The sequence below is a fragment of the Homo sapiens genome, chromosome 2 (genome assembly GCF_000001405.40).
Source record: "Homo sapiens chromosome 2, GRCh38.p14 Primary Assembly".
Lineage (NCBI taxonomy): Eukaryota > Metazoa > Chordata > Mammalia > Primates > Hominidae > Homo > Homo sapiens.
This window is the reverse complement of record NC_000002.12, coordinates 119356792-119375263: the sequence shown is the minus strand read 5'-3', so window position 1 is coordinate 119375263 and position 18472 is coordinate 119356792. Positions and strand designations below refer to the sequence as shown.

The 18472-nt window shown below is 45.2% G+C and overlaps 2 protein-coding genes across 21 annotated transcripts in view, besides 4 other annotated features; one reads left to right on the top strand and one right to left on the bottom strand.

The window, feature by feature from the left end:
* Positions 1 to 2720: 2720 nt before the first annotated feature.
* Positions 2721 to 8287, bottom strand: DBI (diazepam binding inhibitor, acyl-CoA binding protein). Of its 12 annotated transcripts, none has more exons than NM_001282635.3 (5): positions 8050 to 8287; positions 7620 to 7705; positions 6959 to 7076; positions 4462 to 4524; positions 2721 to 3019 (listed from the first exon to the last, which is right to left on the bottom strand). In NM_001282635.3, exons 2-5 carry the CDS (start codon positions 7677 to 7679, stop codon positions 2946 to 2948), a joined length of 315 nt encoding a protein of 104 aa, NP_001269564.1. In that variant the 5' UTR covers positions 7680 to 7705; positions 8050 to 8287; the 3' UTR covers positions 2721 to 2945. The 12 variants fall into 12 exon arrangements, with proteins under 12 accessions (NP_001269564.1, NP_001269562.1, NP_065438.1 ...); NM_001282633.3 differs by having other exon boundaries at positions 8174 to 8287; NM_020548.9 differs by having other exon boundaries at positions 7620 to 7700; positions 8174 to 8287.
* Positions 7167 to 7366: an enhancer, noted in NCBI's record as "active region_16451". NCBI's record gives its function as "activates an Ori minimal core promoter by ATAC-STARR-seq in GM12878 lymphoblastoid cells {active_cell/tissue: GM12878}" and the evidence as "EXISTENCE:reporter gene assay evidence [ECO:0000049][PMID:35858748]".
* Positions 7897 to 8226: an enhancer, noted in NCBI's record as "active region_16450". NCBI's record gives its function as "activates an Ori minimal core promoter by ATAC-STARR-seq in GM12878 lymphoblastoid cells {active_cell/tissue: GM12878}" and the evidence as "EXISTENCE:reporter gene assay evidence [ECO:0000049][PMID:35858748]".
* The window catches only part of C2orf76 (chromosome 2 open reading frame 76), an 86022-nt gene continuing 75662 nt past the window's right edge, over positions 8113 to 18472 (top strand). For 6 of the 9 annotated variants that reach the window (XR_007069611.1, XR_007069609.1, XR_001738623.3 and 3 more), the window contains exon 1: positions 8430 to 8474. The gene's annotated coding sequence lies outside the window, so the exon portion shown is untranslated. Of the gene's footprint in view, positions 8908 to 18472 lie in introns of all 9 variants that reach the window. The other 3 variants (NM_001322330.2, NM_001017927.4, NM_001322329.2) reach the window with 2 other exon arrangements.
* Positions 8327 to 8476: a silencer, noted in NCBI's record as "silent region_11904". NCBI's record gives its function as "represses an Ori minimal core promoter by ATAC-STARR-seq in GM12878 lymphoblastoid cells {active_cell/tissue: GM12878}" and the evidence as "EXISTENCE:reporter gene assay evidence [ECO:0000049][PMID:35858748]".
* Positions 8597 to 8856: an enhancer, noted in NCBI's record as "active region_16449". NCBI's record gives its function as "activates an Ori minimal core promoter by ATAC-STARR-seq in GM12878 lymphoblastoid cells {active_cell/tissue: GM12878}" and the evidence as "EXISTENCE:reporter gene assay evidence [ECO:0000049][PMID:35858748]".

Here is an 18472-nt window from a genome sequence, read left to right as displayed (position 1 = left end):
AAACATCGCATGCAAATGCTATTTGATTGGAATACTTCTGATCTTTGTATCACACCATATTCCTACAACAAGACTGATCATTCATGGGAAATGGTCAAAGGACACCTGCTGGGTAGGGAAGATAATTTATCCTTGGACATAACTAAATTAAATAAACAAATTTTTGAAGCCTCTCAAGCTCGTTTATCCATTGTGCCTGGAGCTGAGGTGTTAGATCAGGTGGCAGGAAGTCTTTCTGGATTAAACCCCACGACTTGGATTAAGTCTATTGGGGGCTCCACTGTAGTAAATTTTGCAATCATGTTTCTCTGTTTAATTGGCTTGTTTTTAGTGTGCTGGACCAGTCAAAGAATCGTGCGTCAAAACCGAGAAAACGAACAAGACTTCATCGCCATGGCACATTTATATAAAAAGAAAGGGAGAGATGTTGTGGGAAGTCAGGGACCCCGAAAGGAGGGACCGGCTAGAGCCGCAGCAGAGGAACATAAATGGTGAAGATTTCATGGATATTTATCAGTTCCCAAATAATACTGTTGTGATTTCTTATGCCTGTCTTTACTTTAATCTCTTAATCCTGTTATCTTCGTAAGCTGAGGATGTACGTCACCTCAGGACCACTGTGATAATTGTGTTAACTGTACAAATTGATTGTAAAACATGTGTTTGAACAATATGAAATCAGTGCACCTTGAAAAAGAATAGAATAACAGCGATTTTTGGGGAACAAGGGAAGACAACCATAAGGTCTGACTGCCTGTGGGGTCAGGCGAACAGAGCCATATTTTTCTTCTTGCAGAGAGCCTATAAACGGATGTGCAAGTAAGAGAGATATCACTAAATTCTTTTCCTAGCAAGGAATATTAATATTAATACCCTGGGAAAGGAATGCATTCCTGGGGGGAGGTCTATAAACAACTGCTCTGGGAATGTCTGTCTTATGCAGTTGAGATAAGGACTGAGATACACCCTGGTCTCCTGCAGTACCCTCAGGCTTACTAGGGTGGGGAAAAACTCTGCCCTGGTAAATTTGTGGTCAGACTGGTTGTCTGCTCTTGAACCCTGTTTTCTGTTGTTTAAGATGTTTATCAAGACAATATGTGCACCAGTGAACATAGACCCTTATCATTAGTTCTGCTTTTGCCCTTTGCCTTGTGATCTTTGTTGGACCCTTATCAGTAGTTCTGCTTTTTCCCTTTGTCCTGTTCCCTCAGAAGCATGTCATCTTTGTTAGACCCTTATTAGTAGTTCTGCTTTTTGCCTTTTGAAGCATGTGATCTTTGTACCTACTCCCTGTTTTACACCCCCTCCCCTTTTGAAACCCTTAATAAAAACTTGCTGGTTTGAGGCTCAGGTGGGCATCACGGTCCTACTGATATGTCACGTCACCCCTGGCGGCCCAGCTGTAAAATTCCTCTCTTTGTACTCTTTCTCTTTATTTCTCAGCCGGCTGAAACTTATGGAAAATAGAAACAGCCTATGTTGAAATATTGGGGGTGGGTTTCCCTGATAATTTGTCCCCAAGTGACACCCTGTGAGCCAGCCCTGGGTGGTACAAGGACTCCTGTGGGAGCCACAGGAGCAGGTGCAGCCCCAGGCTGCTGGTGCTCTCAGAACTGCACAAACACTGCTTTCTGAGAAACCAGTACAAGTACTTTCTAGTGAGCGGGGAGGGCATCTCCCAAACCGGCTATGACCTAGTCACCTGAGGTGCCTAAAAGTCTCTCTCATCTGTGCCTCACTCCAGCTTTGGAAGTGGGACCTCCTTGTCTAAGCCACTCTTCCGGAGTGAGCTGCACAGCCCAAGGGACAGATTTCACACCAGCACCTTATGCTAGCCCAGAGAGACAGATGTCACTCACTGCAACACAGCAGAGGTGCAGACTAAGTGGCAGCCAGGGGCCATGAGAGGGAACATGGTGGAGGGGGACAAACAGGGCCCTCCTGGCCAGTGAGCCCTGGGCTTGGATCCAGTTAAATCACCTCTGAGCCTTAATTTCCTCACTCACATAATGGGCACAGTAATCCCCGTTACACAATATTGAGGTATGATCCCCACTGCAAAGGGCAGCGGGATTGTAAACCCAAGAGCTGGAAGGGAACATCTGGCAAGAAGGGTCTAGAGAGCTATCTCCTTTTCTTCATTATTACTTTTCAACAATCTACCTCCTACGTCCTCCAGAGTCAAGCTCCAGCCTTTCTTCTCTGCAAGCTCCCAGGGTTCTGCTCCTTGCAGAGGACACACCCCTTGCCCACTGACTGTTGCCCACACAGCTGTCTGTGGCTTCCCCTGGGACTTGGGGAACGCCTCCTGTCAGGTTCACACTCCATTCTTGATGGGGGCTTCCACTCTGGTTCATGCACTCTGGAATCAGGGACCAGCTGGGCCTCAGACAAACCTCAAGCACTGTAAACCCTGCCTCACACAGGTCCTGGGGCAGGAACGTCCCCGTCAGAAGTACTTGCAGACTGTGGTCTCAGCCAGCCTGCCTCATCTTCCTCGGCGTGGCTGAACTGGGAAGGAAGAGAGAAAGGTCACTTCTACCATCCTCCTCCTCCCCACAAAGGGCCAGCACACCTTAGGCCAGGGTGCAGGGCAGGACTGCCCACCTTATACTCTACCAGGTATGCAGCTGAAGCACTACCAGAGGTCTTTAGAAAAAGGAAGCAAGGCTGAGGTCAGACAGAGTAAATGATCTCAAGAACTCAGATCACTAAAGTTATTTAAAGTAACAAATACACTTTTAATTGATTTCAGATAAAAACTACTCAAGGAAAGTCAGTAATCGTTTTAGCCCCTAATCTGTTAGAGCCGTATGGTGAGCAGCCTTGAGTAGCTGGTTTAACTGGTTATTTTCCCGAATTCCCACCATCCACGGTATTAGAAAAAAACAAGGCATTGTCTCAGTTTAGGATAAACACATGGCACAGTAACCAAATCCAGTCTCTCATATCCCGTATTTTTTCTTTAGCTCTTCTACTTTGTTGATGTAAGCTTTCATGGCATCTTCCTTGGAAGTCCCTGTAAGGAATCGACAGGATTATGTGTCAGGGAGGTAGCATGGTAGGAAACAAGCAGCCTCCAGAGCCCCAGGCAGCTCTGCTGTAACTCTCCTAGGCTCAGTTTCTCACTTAATAAAGTTGAGATTCTACTAATTACAGGAGACAGTATCCACAGAACCTGGCCCGAAGTGAATGCTCCATAAGCAACTGTGCTCAGAAAGCCTGGTGGGGCTGGCCAAGATCTGTCGCCCATCTGCTGGACACCTGCGTCCCCCACCTGTCCTGGGGGAATGGCCATTGTGAGCCTTGGGAGAGAGGTGCCACCCTCCAGACAGGTAGGAAACTGTCATCGTGGTGACTTTACTGGTCCTGCTAACTCTCGTGGCTGATATTGGCTTTGGCCTTTTCAGTGTCTCTGTTTTGGGCTCCTATCTTCCAGAGCTGTTAAGCTGGCAGTGAAAAAGCAAAGCCAGGCACCCTCTTCTCCCCAGAGAGAGGCTATGAGAAAAGTTTCAGGAACTCTGACCAAAAGTGGCTGCTTCTTGGAGGGGAATGAGACAAATCTTTGTCTTCTTGCTGCAGTAGAAAGGACACTGAATGTATCCCTCAGAGACAGTGACACCCAGTTTCCTGGATTCTATGGTGAAGGATAGAGACCCTTTGGAACTCAGAGCTTGTTCTGAAGCACTGGAGAGTACATGGGGCCTGAGGATGGTATGGAAATGTCCCATGAAAATGGGCAGGCAGATGGGCATTCCCTTCCCAGTTACTTGCAGATCCTAGGAGTGTGTTTATTGTATTGTGGCCCTTTCTGAATTCAAGGGTTTCTCATTCGCAGAAGGACAGAGGGCTTATTCAGAAACTAGCCAGCAGGAACACTAATGCTGCCAGGAGCTTTGGTGCCAACTCTTGGGTCTTGCTGCTGCAGGTGGCACGTGATTAAGTACGAGCTTGGATACTTCTTGGCTGCTGGTGCTTAGCATATAATGGCTCCATTCACTGAGCCTACGATGCCAGCGGCAGGCCATGCATTAGCTCATTCCCTTCTTTTATGTATCCTTCTGGCTAGGAAGGAACTGGGGAGGGCCACTGGGGTTAGGGGGTCACCGCCTGGCCTTGTAGGGGAGAGGGAGTTGCAGACAGGAAACCACCCCTTATTCTGAACACATCCAAAGCCTACGCCAACTACATCATTTCCCAAACTATTTTTCAGTGGCCTGGTTCCCAGCCCCTCCTCTCTAGATGATGCTCCTGCTCAGAGATGGTGCTTTTAGAAAAGGCATAAATGGTGTTAGGAGAAAAAGTAGGTGGCCCGGTTTTTTCCCATTCTGGCACAGGTCAGGCTGGTTTCCCACACGTGCCCCATTGACTTTGTTTTCTCTCCTCTTCCCTTACACTTCATAATGAAGACTCTTTCACTACTGGGTTTCACAAATGAGAGAAATTGATTAGAACAATTACCTTTCAGCTCATTCCAGGCATCCCACTTGGCCTTGCCCGTGAAGTCCAACATCCCGGGCCGTTCTTAAACAAGGGAAGAAAAGGCATTAGATCTGGTTCAAATTCTAATGGAGAACTTGATCAACCTTCTTGCCATAAATGCCATCTTCTATTACACCTGTTCCTTCTAGGCTCTGTCATGGGGTTAAATAGGTCTAGTAGAGTGGGTTCTGCCCTAAGAAAACCAATGTATGCCAATCCAAACTTAAAATCTAGAGCAAATAGGAAGAACAGTATTCTTATTACAAGATAGCCTTTGTCTTACAAGTTAAATGACTCCAAAATTTCTCTTTTAAAAAAATTATACTTTAATTACAATTAAAAAAAAAATCCATTCATATGTCTTAAAATTCAAAAGCTACAGAGGAAAATACTATAAAGTTTCTCTCTCACCCCTGCTGTTAGCTACCCAATTTCTCTCCCTAATCATTAATGATATCAGGTGTCCTTTCCTATGAACTGTTTATATCCTAGCCCCATTTTTCTACCGAATTGTTAGTCTATTTCTTGCTGATCTGTGGGAGATTTCACCGAGGGTAAGGTTTCTTTAAGTTATATGATGACTTTATGCTTATAGACCTGTTGTCATCTGCAGTTGGGAAACACACTCACCATCTCCCTGTTGTCCTATTTCACTACGATGCCCAGCCCCAAAGCCACAGGGAACAATCAGAGTCCGTAGCCTGGAGCACTGTGCCTGAGAAAATGTCCCTGAGCGCTTTCAGGGAAGTGTTCCCAGGGACAGCTGAAACAAACTGCCCTTGTGGTCATCATCAGGATCCTAGAATAGCACTCCTCGACAGCTCTCTCCAAGCGGTGGAAATGGAAATGTACATGTATATTTGCAATGTCCAATTCAGGAGCCACTTGCCACACCAAGTACCTGAAATGACTACTGGGCATCTGAAATGTGGTTCCTGTGAATGAAGACTAAACTTGATTTTATTTAACTATTTTCAGTTAAAATTTTTTTTTTTAGAGACAGAGTCTCGTTCTGTTGCCCAGGCTGGAGTGCAGTGGTGCGACCTCGGCTCACCACAACCTCTACCTCCCAGGTTCAAGCGATTCTCCTGCCTCAGCCTCCCAAGTAGCTGGGACTACAGGCATATGCCACCATGCCCAGCTAATTTTTGTATTTTTAGTAGAGATGGGGTTTCACTACGTTAGCCAGGTTGGTCTCAAACTCCTGACCTCATGATTCGCTTGCTTCGGCCTCCCAAAGTGCTGGGATTACAGGCATGAGCCATAGCGCCCAGCCTCAGTTAAAATTTATATAGTCATATGTGGCTACTGGCTATTATACTAAACTATCGTGTTTGGACTATCATGTTTTATAATCGTGTAATAGGGCTGTATAGTACAGCCCTAGAGAGAGCCGATGACACCTCTTTGATCAGTAAGTGATAGATTCCTATGCCAGTCTATCTAGACTCATGTGAAAATCGGTAACTCTAGTACGGGCACAGGCCAGTCTCTGTGAAAATACTGTTTGTCAGAAAAGCATCTTGGCACCTCTGGCCTCCCCCACTTCACCTTTCCTTCCCCTCCCTGGAAGGACAGAGTTTACGAACTCACTGTAAAACTCACCTTCGCCATAAGACCTTCTTCAACTAAGTGCTCCATGTGAACCCCAGGGTTTGATATGGTACTGCCTGTGATCTGTCATTCTGGGTACTATTTCCTGCTTCCAGCTGGTTGGCAGCCAGCCCACCTGCTCCATCTTCCACCCCAGCTACTGCGGAAATAGGGACCATGCTCGCCTTCTTCCTCAGCAGGGGCAGGGGAGACCTCCCTTCTGTGCTGCCATGATAACCCTGAGTCCTTGCACAGAATGCACTGCGCTGTTGCCTCAGTATCCACCCATGTTTCAGGGACTTAGGGACAGAATGAAACCTGCCCAAGGCAGGAAAGATGTTATTACAGAACATGACAGTCCAAAGCACAGCCTCAAAATCTGCACCAAGATTTCTGGGCAGGGAAAAAGTTATCATCAGGAAGGCACAGACTTGTTAGCGAAATGCTCTGACCTAGCCCAAGAAACCAGGTGCTTCTCTGCTCCTGACATCAGGCTTGGCCAGGCTGTCAAGTGCTCCAAAAAGTGCTCCAACTTTGATCCTGCCCATCTAGGGCAGAAGCTGAACGGCTCAACAATGATACTACTGAGCTGAGAGCCTTCAGCAAGTCTTTTCCAAGCTGCAGCCTTTGCTTCTTCCCTAGTAGAGAGTAGCTGCTGGTGATAACCAGTAAAGACCTTCTAAAACCAGGATTTGAATTCTGTTACTACTGGAGACACTGAGAATCCGGAACATGGTCTTTTCCACCTCAGGAACCATCACCATACCCCACCTGAAGAGTAGGGCCTCAGGCAGTTTGAGAGTGAAGTTCCCAGGGACTTCCAGTCTGAGCTGCTGAGCCTGCTTTGATGAGCAGATGCCCTTCCAACCCCCGCTCTGCATACCTGTATTTATGTCGCCCACAGTTGCTTGTTTGTAGTGGCCATAGATGAACAGCATCTCCTCATCCGATGGCTTGGTCTTAAGGTGCCTAACCTCCTCTGCAGCTTTCTCAAACTCAGCCTAAATGGAAGGGAGAGGAGAGGATTGAGGGCCTCCTCTGGGTGGGAGAGGGTAAGAATCCTACTGTGGCCTGATGACAGCCCAGTTACGGGGATGGAGAGGTGGGAAAGGTGGCACCCTTCGGGCAATGCAGCCCCTGAAGTGTGTCTGCCCCTCCCTGCCCCAACAGGGCAGCTAGAAAGATTCAGCAACACAAGAAGGGGAAGCCCCTCCAGTTCACTCATTCAATCGAAAACCATATATCCAGAGCTCTCACAAACGCAGGCATCAGGTCTGGAAATACAGCAGTGAAGAGGGCAGGCCAAGCCTTCGCCCCCAGTGGGGGTCCCCTCTGCGGGAGAAGCAGCGCGGCCAACTGCCTGGCCACCACCGGGCCAGGCACTAGGGAGTGGCCGGGGCTGCAGCGAAGCCCTGGCCTGAGGACAGACGGGGCACAGTATGCTGGAAACAGCTGAAAGGGGACAGGGCATGAGTGCCGCGGTGTCAGCGCCGGAGCCCGTTGGTCCCCTCCCTCCCCCTGGGGCCCGCGCGTTCAACACCGACCTCTGTCCCAGTGCCCGGATTGGCAGAGGCAGGCGGGAGGAGCCAGAGGTCGCCCCACATAGCTCGGTCTCAGACAAGGGTCTACACTGGAGAGAAGGGAGGGGCCCCTGGGTCACCTCTCCCCGGGCCGCGATTCTCCTCGTCCCGCACTCTGAGCAGCCGGCCCCGTACTTCCCCTGACCTCCAAGCTCTCGGCCACGGACTCCTCGCTTCCCCACTCCGCCGCGACGTCCTGCCCTGTGCTTCGGGATGGGGACTGAGTCTCCTCGCTCCTCCAATCCGTGCAACCCCTTCCCCCATCTCTCCATCAAGCACCCTCGACTCCCACCCCTCTCCCGCTACACAGCGAAGTCCACCCCATGGGCAACTTTCCGGCAGTTGCGGGGTGGGCAGCAGATTTAGAAATCCCCAAACGGAAAATCCCGCTCACAAGGCTCTGTCCAACGAATCAGGGCTAGGCATGGGCCCATGAGCAAGTGAGGGGCACGGAAGGAAAGAGCCCGAGAGCTTCTGGCAGCCGGCTGAGCCCCCAACGGGCCTCCCGCCCGCTGCACCTTCGCAGCCTGGCTGTGCACGCGCTGTACCTGAGACATCCTGGCCGACTTGCAAGAACTCCAGGGAGACAGCGGAGGAGGCGAGGACCAGGAAGCGATCGCCCAGATTGCACTGGCAAGCGCCTTTAGAGGCGCGGTCCACTCGCCCCAACCCTGCTCGGGCGAGCACCGGAAAGCCAATCAGAAGCCAGCTATGCGCTAGGGGCGTGCCCAGCCCCCGCCGCGGCGCTAGCCCCGCCCGAGCCCACGTGGGACCGCTTGCGCAAACGCCGGGAGTAGCCGAAGGGGACGCCGGGAACAGGTGGGGACAACGGAAGTAGGGTGCTTAGTTTTGCTGCCGGGAGTTGGTCGAGAGTTGGGTTCAGTCCTGGCCCGTTGTGGGGACGGCACGCGGGGGAAGGGGAGGGGACGGAGACCGAAGAACGGAGGTCCTTATGTTTCTTTTCTTTCCTTAAATCTTGCCCGGCCTGAAGAGGCCGGAAGTTGCATCTCTGGACAAGTAAACTCTGAGACCTGGGAATGGCGGGCGGGACCCGCTCCTCCCTTGGGGTCTAGAGGAGACCCCCGGAGATGGTCCCTGATGAGCAGCGTGATGGTGGAAAGCTGGACTGGTCTCCCGAAAGGCGAAGCCGAGGCTTCTTCCTCTGAACTTTTGGCACGTTCTTTGACTTGCTTGTGGCCGTAGTGTCAGGCCTGTATTGCACATTTATGTCTGTGGTGCATTTCTCCATCTGGTGCGTTAAAGGCAGGGACGGTGTCTTATTTGTCTTGATTTAACAAACTTGGACGGGACGAAGTGCTCAGCAAATATTTGTTAAATGAATGGCTGTTTATTGAACTCCTGTTGGGTAACTTGCACTGTTCTAGACCTTGGCAGACAGCAGTGAACAAAGCGGGTGAATCCCTGCAATCTTGGAACTTACAAGTAGGGACAGTAGTTTATACAATAAGTTAAATATAGAGTACTTTAGGGGCTTAGAGAGTTGGAAGTTTATAGTTTTAAATGGAGGAGGGGGAGTATTGAGGGAAGGTGACATTTGAGAAAGTTCCTCAAGGAGGGGAGGGAAGATTCCAAGCAGAGAACAAGTGTAAAGGCGTGGGCAAGGAACCAGGGGAAGAGTAGAAAGATGAGGCTGGAGAGTTTTGGCGGTGGCAGACTGGCTAGGTGATGCAGAAGTTGGCCATCACAGGGACTTTGACTGTCATGCTGAGTGAGATGGGAAATCGTAAAAGGGTTTGAAAAGAGGATGAGGAGACGGAGGGGAACGTCTTTGCGAGATTGTTACACAGCCTAATCTCCATGGGAACTGAAAGGAGCAGCACAGGTGTCTGGAAGTGTTTTAGGATCGATGTTTAAGAAGCTAAAGGAAGACTTCTCTGGCAGTGGTTGCAAAGGAGCTGGGTGAAGAGAGGGAAATGATGGAAAATTCTCTGGAGATCATTAAAAAAGCAAAGTCATTCCTCTCTAATTCATAATTTGTGGCAAGAGGGCTGGACTACAAATCTCTGCCCTGCCTACACCTTCCCCCTCCCCAGGGAAGGTAGACGCTTTCAGACTTAACTTGCTAACTTAATGTAGGTCACGTTTTATGGAATGTTTGGGAAGAAATGAAGATGCAATAGGGAACAAATCTAGGGTTTTCAGTCTGAGCATAATTTTGTTTGAGAAAGGAAAACCAAACAAATTAACAAAAATCTTGGAGTTAAATATGGGGAAAGTACACTGAAGTGTAAGAAATGCAGGTTTCTTCGAAAATCACAATTCAGAGCTGCTTTTTCCATTTGAGGCCTGGATTTGTTTTTGCTCTACTTGGTGCTTACAGCTTCCTTGATGGAAACTCAGATTATTGCTTGTGTGGGCCAGATTTGCAGTCAAATACATCTCCTAGTCAGCAGGTTTTAAGTTAGGGTATTGTTGAGATTAGGTACTTTGAGAATGCAGTTATCACTTCTCAAAGATCAGTTGCTTTTAGTTTTTTAGTTTTTGTTTTTTAATTATTTTCGCGTGTGATGTGGTCTCACTCTTTTACCTAGGCTGTAGTTCAGTGGCACAATCTCAGCTCTCTGCAGCCTTGAACTCCAGGCCTCAAGCGATCCTCCCACCTTAGCCTCCCGAGTAGCTGGAAATGTGGGCACAACCACCATGCCTGGCTAATTTTTTTATTTTTATTTTTATTTTTTGTAGAGATGGGGTCTTGCTATGTTGTTGGTCTTGATCTCCTGGGCTCAAGGGATTCTCCCACTTTGGCCTCCTAACGTGGTGGGAGTACAGGTGTGAGCCACTGCGCCTGGCCTTGATTGAATATTGCTTTTCATAATTCTGAGAATGCAAGATCCTCAGCTCTGTTTATGTCCTTGTTAGCCACCGTAACATGTTGTAATTATTTTATTTACAATTATTTTAATTTTAATTTACTTTTCTACTGTCTAACCCTCTGCCTCTGCCTCCCACCAAACACACATAAGCCAGGAGGAGATGGGGTCATTGTGTATCAGTCACTGCTGAATCTCCAAGTGTCTGGCACTTCTTAGGCACTCAACAAATAGTTGTTGAATGAATAAAGTGTTTTTCTCTCTATGAAGATTTATTCTGTCTGATTAACTGAACTTGGAAACCATCTAAATTTGTTAGAACTGAATGTAAAACTATGGGGTTGAGTAAAGTAGATGAACTCTGGTGCAAGGACCATGTAATCTCTTTGTACCACTCCCAGCTTTGGAAGCAGAGCACCTGGAGATGAGAAACCTGACCAGCCAACTTGTCAGCCAAATTGACCCTGCCAATCAATAGAGAGGCCATTGTCATTGTTGTAGTTTGCCTTCACATCTGGGAATACCACTTTTTATTTATTATTTATTTATATTTTTTTCATAGAAACCACTCTTGTCTGCCACAGGCTTCACTCGGTGGGTCTCAGAATAAAGCCAGATGGGCAAGATCTCTCTCTCTTTCTCTCTTCTCTCTCCTCTCTCCTCTCCCTCTCTCTCTGCCCTACCTCTCTCTCCCTCCCCCTTTCTCCTATCTCTGTCTGTCTGTCTGTCTGTCTGTCTCTCTCTCTCTCTCTATTTTTTTGAGACAGGGTCTCACTCCATTACCCAGGCTGGAGTGCAGTGGCACAATCATGGCTCACTGCAGCCTTGACTTCCTGGGCTCAGATGATTCTCCCACCTCAGCCTCCCGAGTAGCTGGGACTACAGGTGTGTGCCACCATGCCTGGCTAATTTTTTGTAGAGATGGGTTTTTGCCATGTTGCCTGGGTTGGTCTTGAACTCCTGAGCTCAAGTGATCCCTCTGCCTCGACCTCCCAGGATGCTGGGATTACAGGCCTAAGCCACTGTGCCTCGCCCTGGCAAGATATATTAATAAGTGAAAGCATTTCTTGCTCATTAGGTGGGAATAGTAGTTTCATATTAAGTTTCTTAGTATAAATGAAACCTCTAATTTCTGAAAGTAACCTAATCACCAGAAAATGAACTACGATTTCAGGAGAGCTTCCTAGTTGCTCTAGTAACTAGAGTTACTATAAGGCGAGGGTTAGGGTATCCACAAATGATGGATTACATTCATTCTGTATTTTCTTTCCGGTTACTTGGAATGTGACTCCTGTGGCAGGGCTTCAGCAGAGCTGGAGGAGACTAGTTTTTTTTTTTTGCCTTTTTTTTTTTTGAGACAGAGTCTTGCTCTGTCGCCCAGGCTGGAGTGTAGTGGTGCGATCTCGGCTCACTGCAAGCTCCGCCTCCCGGGTTCACGCCATTCTCCTGCCTCAGCCTCCCGAGTAGCTGGGACTATGGGTGCCCGCCACCACGCCCGGCTAATTTTTTGTATTTTGGGTAGAGACGGGGTTTCACTGTGTTAGCCAGGTTGGTCTCGATCTCCTGACCTCGTGATCCGCCCGTCTCGGCCTCCCAAAGTGCTGAGATTACAGGCGTGAGCCATGTCGCCTGGCCCAGGAGACTAGTTTTAAAGGGAAGAAGGGACTTTGGAAATGCTTCTGGATAGGATTGGGGAGGTATGGGTGGAGTTTTTTTGTGAAGGCTGAGGGAGGTGAGAGTTGGTGGGGGTGGGGTAAGAATGAAGCCTGGCTTTCCTCATAACTGGTGAGAGGAGGCCTGGCAGCTGGAGGTGTTAGCAAGTCCTGTGCCATTCCTACCCTCTCCTTCCTTTGGGTGTTCGTCTTCAGAGGAATTGTGGCAAGGCGGGCAGGAGAGAAGAGTAAACAGGTGTGGCATGCACATGTTTACCATTTTCTTCTTCCTCTTCTTTTTGCCTAGCCAACTTGGGCTGGGGGTGGTTAGGGCTGAGGTGAGCTGCAGAGATGGCTTGGGAGTGGAAGATTCTGATAGGGAAGTATCCTAGGCTGGCTGGAAGTAAGGAAGACAGGACTTCCTTTAGAATTGCTTCTCCATGAGTTGGTCATACACTGGTCAGGTGCTGCCTGCGCTCTGTTTAGAAGCATTCATGATTATGGGCAGGAATAATGAAAATATCTTGAGTTCAGTACTGAGTTCTTGTTCAACTTCATACTTTAATAAAAATGTGTTATATATTCTCTTCTAAATCTACATTGTCTTCTACATCTTTGCCTATTTAGCTCCTAGCTGCACATGACAAACCACCTGGAAAATGCCTTGAAACTAGATTGTTAGAGGTGAATTTTCTTAGTAAACTCTTCTGCCTGTCAACAAGAAAATTAGAAATACAGCTGACCCTTGAACAACACAGGGGTTAGGGGCACTGACCTTCCACACAGTCAAAAATCTGTGTGTAACTTTTGACTACCCTAAAACTTAACTATTAATAGCCTACTGTTGATTCGAAGTCTTACTGATAACAAACAGTTGATTAACACATTTTATATGTTATATGTATTATTTACTGTATTTTTAAAAGTAAACTAGAAAAGAATGTTACTAGAATCACAAGGAAGAGAAAATTATTTACTGTTCAGTAAGTGGAAGTAGATCATAAAGGTCTTCAGACTTGTCATCTTCACACTGAGTAGGCTGAGGAGGAAGAGGAAGGGTTGGTCTTTCTCAGGGATGGCAGAGGTGGAAAAAAATAGAAGTTGGACTCCTATTGTTCAAAACGCCACTGTATTAAAATCTGGTGACAAGGCTGCAGTGAGGTATAATCCTGCCACTACACTCCAGCCTAGGCAACAGGGAGAGACCCTGCCTCAAAGAAAAAAAGATCTGCTGACATGCTTTGGCTAATAATTCCTTCAAAGGGCAATGTTGTTCAAAAAAACACTATTTTGAGCTAACTATATAGATTGACGTGCGGTTATAAAAAATATAGTAGTCCCTCCTTATCCTCAGAGGCTAAATTCCAAGACCCCCCCAATGGAGGCCTGAACCCTATATATGTTTTTTCCTACATGGTTGTCTGTCAATATCTGTGGGGGATTGGTTCCATGACCTCCTATGGATGCCAAAAATCCATGGATGCTCAAGTCCCTTATATAAAATGATGTATTTGCATGTAACTTATGCACATTCTTCTGTATACTTTAAATAATCTCTAGGTTACTTATAATACTAGATACAATGTAAATGCTATATAAATAGTTGTGATACTGTATTTTACAATTTTTTTGTGTGTGTATCCGTATTTTTTTATCGTTTTCTTCCCAGGATATTTTCACCTGAAGTTGGTTGAGTCTGCAAAGGCAGAACCCACAGATATGGAGGGCTGACTGTACATACATATCTATAATAAAATTTGAGTTTTAAATTAGGCACAGTAAGAGAGTAACAAAATAATAATAAAATTGAACAGTTATCACCATATATTGTAATAAAAGTGTGAGTGTTTACTTCTGGAATTTTTCATTTAATATTTTTGGACAGTGGTTGGCCGTGGGTAACAAACCCACGAAACCCATTTTGGGTTCAAACCATCAAAAGTGGAACTGTAAGTGAGGACTACTGTAGCCTAGAGAGATCTCTTGTACATCTTACCTAGTTTCTCCCAGTGGTAACATCTTGCAAAACCATATAGAATACATAACACAATCAATACATTGACATTGATACATTTAAGTAAGGTAACAATATTTCCATCATCAAAGATTCCTAATACTGCCTTGTGGCCACAACCACTACCTAGCTCCTCCTTAGCCCCTGGCAACCACAACTTTCTTCTCTATTTCTATAATTTTATCATTTCAATAATGTTATATATCATGAAATTGTGGTATATAGCCTTTTTGTATTGTTTTTTCTTCACTCAGAATAATTCTGTGGTGATTCATCTAGCTTGTTGAGTGAATGATAGTTTTGTTCTTTTTTATCCCTGAGTACTATTCCATCATATAGATGAAAGAGTTTAACCATTCACTCTTTGAAGGCTATTGCTATTGTTTCCACTTTTTGGCTATTATGAATTAAGCTGCTGCCAATCACTTGTCTACAGGCATACCTCAGAGATATTGCAGGTTTGGTCACAGACCACTGACATAAAATGATGATCACAGCAAAATGAGTCACAGTTTTTTGGTTTTCCAGTGCATATACAAGTTATGTTTACACTATACGTATAGTCTGTTATAAAGTGTGCAATAGCATTATGTCAAACAGGTGTATATATCTTTTTTTTTTTTTTTTTTTTTTTGAGACAGAGTTTTGCTCTCGTTGCCCAGGCTGGAGTGCAATGGTGCAGTCTCAGCTCACTGCAACTTCTGCCTCCCAGGTTCAAGCGATTCTCCTGCCCCAGCCTCCTGAATAGCTGGGATTGCAGGCATGTGCCACCACACCTGGCTAATTTTATATTTTTAGTAGAGACGGGGTTTCACCATGTTGGCCAGGCTGGTCAAACTCCTGACCTCAGGTGATCACCTGCCTCGGCCTCCCAAAGTGTTGGGATTACAGGCATGAGCCACCGTGCCTGGCCTCAAATGTACATATCTGAATTAAAGATACTTGATTGCTAAAAAATGCTAACTATCACCTGACTTCAACGAGTCATGATCCTTTTGCTGGTCGAGGGTCTTGCCTCAATGTTGATGGCTGCTAACTGATTGGTGCGGTGGTTGCTGAAGGTTGGGGTGGCTGTAGCAATTTGTTAAAATAAGCTAACAATGATGTTTGTTGTATTGATTGACTCTTCCTTTCAAGAAAGACTTCTCTGTAACATGAGATGCTGTTTGACAGCATTTTATCAATAGCAGAACTTTCAAAATTGGAGTCAATTCTCTCAAACCATGCTGCTGCTTTACAAGTTTATGCAATATTCTAAACGCTTTTTTTGTCGTTTCAACACAGCACTCCAGCCTAGGCGACAGGGAGAGCATTTTCACCAGGAGTAGATTCTGTCTCAAGAAACTGCTTTCTTTGCTCATTCATAAGAAGTAACTCCTAATCCGCTGGCATTTTATTATGAGATTGCAGCAGTTCAGTCCCATCTTAAGGCTTCACTTCTAGTTCTAGTTGTCTTGCTATTTCCACCACATTTGCTGTTACTTCCTCCACTGAAGTCTTGAACTCCTCAAAGTCATCCATGAAGGTTGGAGTCCTTCCAAAGTCCTATTAATGTTGCTATTTTGATCTCCTCCTGAATCATGAATATTTTTAATGGCCTTTAGAATGGTGAATCCTTTCCAGAAGGTTTTCGTATTATTTTGCCCATATCCATCTGAGGAATCACTATCTACGGTAGCAGTAGTCTTACAAGATGTATTTTCTTAAATAATAAGACATGAAAGTTGAAATTGCTTCTTGATCCATAAGCTTCAGAATGCATATTGTGGTAGCAGGCATGAAAACATGAATCTCCTTGTCCATGTCCATGAGAGCACTCGGGTGGCCAGGTGCATTGTCAATGAGCAGTAATATTTTGAAAGGAATCTTTTTTTTCCTGAGGATTAGGTCTCAACAGTGGGCTTAAAATATTTAATAAACGATGCTGTAAACAGATGCACTGTCATGCAGACTTTGTTGTTCCGCTTATACAGCACAGGTAGAGTAGATTTAACATAATTCTTAAGGGCCCTAAGATTTTCACAATGATCAGTGAGCGTTGGCTTCAACTGAAAGTCACCAGCTGCCTTAACCCTTACCCACAGTCAGCCTGTCCTTTGAAGCTTTAAAACCAGGCGTTGACTTCTCCCTAGCTATGCAGATCCTAGATGGCTTCATCTTCCAATATAAGGCTGTTTTGTCTGTGTTGAAAATCTGTTGTTTAGTGTAGCCAGCTTCATCAATCTTAGCTAGATCTTCAGGATAACTTGGTGCAGCTTCTACATCAGCACCTGAGGCTTCATTTTGCACTTTTTTTGTTATGGAGACTGCTTCTTTCCTTAAACATCATGAACCAACCTCTGCTAGCTTCACTCTTCTTATATAGCTTTCTCACCTCTCTTAGCCTTCATAGAATTGAAGAGTGTTAGGGCCTTCCTCTGGATTAGGCTTTGGCTTAAGGAAATGTTGTGGGTGGTCTGGCCTTCTATCCAGAGCACTCAGACTTTCTCCATATCAGCGACAGGCTGTTTTGCCTTTTTTTTTTTTTTTTTTTTGAGACAGAGTCTCCCTCTGTCACCCAGGCTGGAGTGCAGTGGTGCAGTTTCGGCTCACTGCAATCTGCACCTCCCGGATTCAAGTGATTCTCCTGCCTCAGCCTTCTGAGTAGCTGGGATTACAGATGCACACCACGACTCCCAGCTAATTTTTGTATTTTTAGTAGGGACAGGGGTTCCTCCATGTTGGTCAGGCTGGTCTTGAACTCCTGACCTCAGGTGATCCACCCACCTAGGCCTCCCAAAATGATGGGATTACAGGCGTGAGCCATCTGTTTTGCCTTCTTACCATTTGTGTGTTCACTGTAATAGCATTTTAATTTCCTCAATAACTTTTCCTTTGTATTCACAACTTGGCTGTTTGGTGCAAGGGGCCTAGCATTCAACCTATCTTGGCTTTTGACATGCCTTCCTCACTAAGCTTAATCATTTCTAACTTTTGATTTAAAATGAGAGACTAACAACTCCTCCTGTCACTTAAAAACTTAGAGGCCATTGCAGTGTTATTAATTGGCCTAATTTCAATATTATTGTGCATGTTTTGTTAGATTTACACCTAAATACTTGTTTTTGAGTGATTGTGAATGTTATTGTATTTTGTATTTGTATTTATATTGTATATTGTGTTCCATGTGTTCATTGCTACTATTTGGAAATATAGTTGGTTTTGTATGTTTATTTTGTATCCTGTGACTTTGCCAAATTCATTAATTCCAGATTTTTTTGTTTTTTGAGAATTCTTGGGATTTTCTGTGTAGATAATCATGTTATCTGCAAATAGGGACAGTTTTATTTCTTCCTTTCTCATCTCTTTGCCTTTTATTTCCTTGTCTTGCATTGTTTCACTGGCTAGAACTTCCAGCAGCATGTTGAATAAGAATGGTGAGAATGGCTATTTTTCCTTGTTCCTGATCTTAGGGGGAAAGCATTCAGTCTTTCATTATGAAGTCTAACGTTAGCTCTAGTTTTTTTTTTTTTTTGGTTTGTTTTTTGTAGATGCTCTTTATCAAATTGAGATGTTCCCCTCTTTTCTTGTTTTTCTGAGAGTCCTTATTGTCAGTGGATGTTGAGTCTCCATTGAAGTTTGTCAGGTGCCTTTTCTGTATCACTTGATGTGATCATGTGATTTTTCTTTAGGTTGTTAATTTGGTGGATTACATTGATTGCTTTTCAAATATTAAACTAACCTTGCTTCTCTGGAAAAAACCACTTGGTCAGGGTGTATAATTATTTTTATGTATTGCTAAATTCTATTTGCTAATGTCTTACTAAGGATTTTCATGTCTATATTCATAAGGGATATTGGTCTGTTGTTGTCTTTTTTTTAGTAATGGCTTTGTCTGGCTTTATTGTGGAAAAACTAGCTGCATAAAGTGAATTAGGAAATGTTCCTTTTCCATTTTCTGAAAGAGGTTGTGTACAATTGATGTTAATTCTTCTTTAAATGTTTTGTAGAGTTCTCTAGTGAAACCTTCTAGGACTGGAGATTTCTTTTCTTTTCTCCTTCCTTCCTTCCTTCCTTTTTTCCAGGCACCTCATCAGGTTCTTATAGAGATTTCTTTCTTGGGAGTTCTTAAATTATGAATTTAATTTCCTTAATAGTTATAGGGCTATTCATATTGTTTATTTCATATTGGTGAGTGGTGGTAGTTTTAGTTTTTTAAGAAATTGGTCCATTTTGTCTGTGCTGTGAAATGTATGTATGTAATTAGTTCATAGTATTCCCTTATTATCCTTTCGCTATTTGCAGAGCCTGTAATGATATCCTCCATTTCATTCCCAATAT

Coding starts and splice junctions, on each gene's coding strand:
- DBI (NM_001178017.3), bottom strand. CDS start 7,927: ATGGAGAGATGGGGGAAGGGGTTGCACGGATTGGAGGAGCGAGGAGAC. Junction 7,077..7,735: donor GAATCGCGGCCCGGGGAGAG/GTGACCCAGGGG, acceptor CCTTCCATTTAG/GCTGAGTTTGAGAAAGCTGC. Junction 3,020..4,461: donor TGCCTGGAATGAGCTGAAAG/GTAATTGTTCTA, acceptor GATTCCTTACAG/GGACTTCCAAGGAAGATGCC.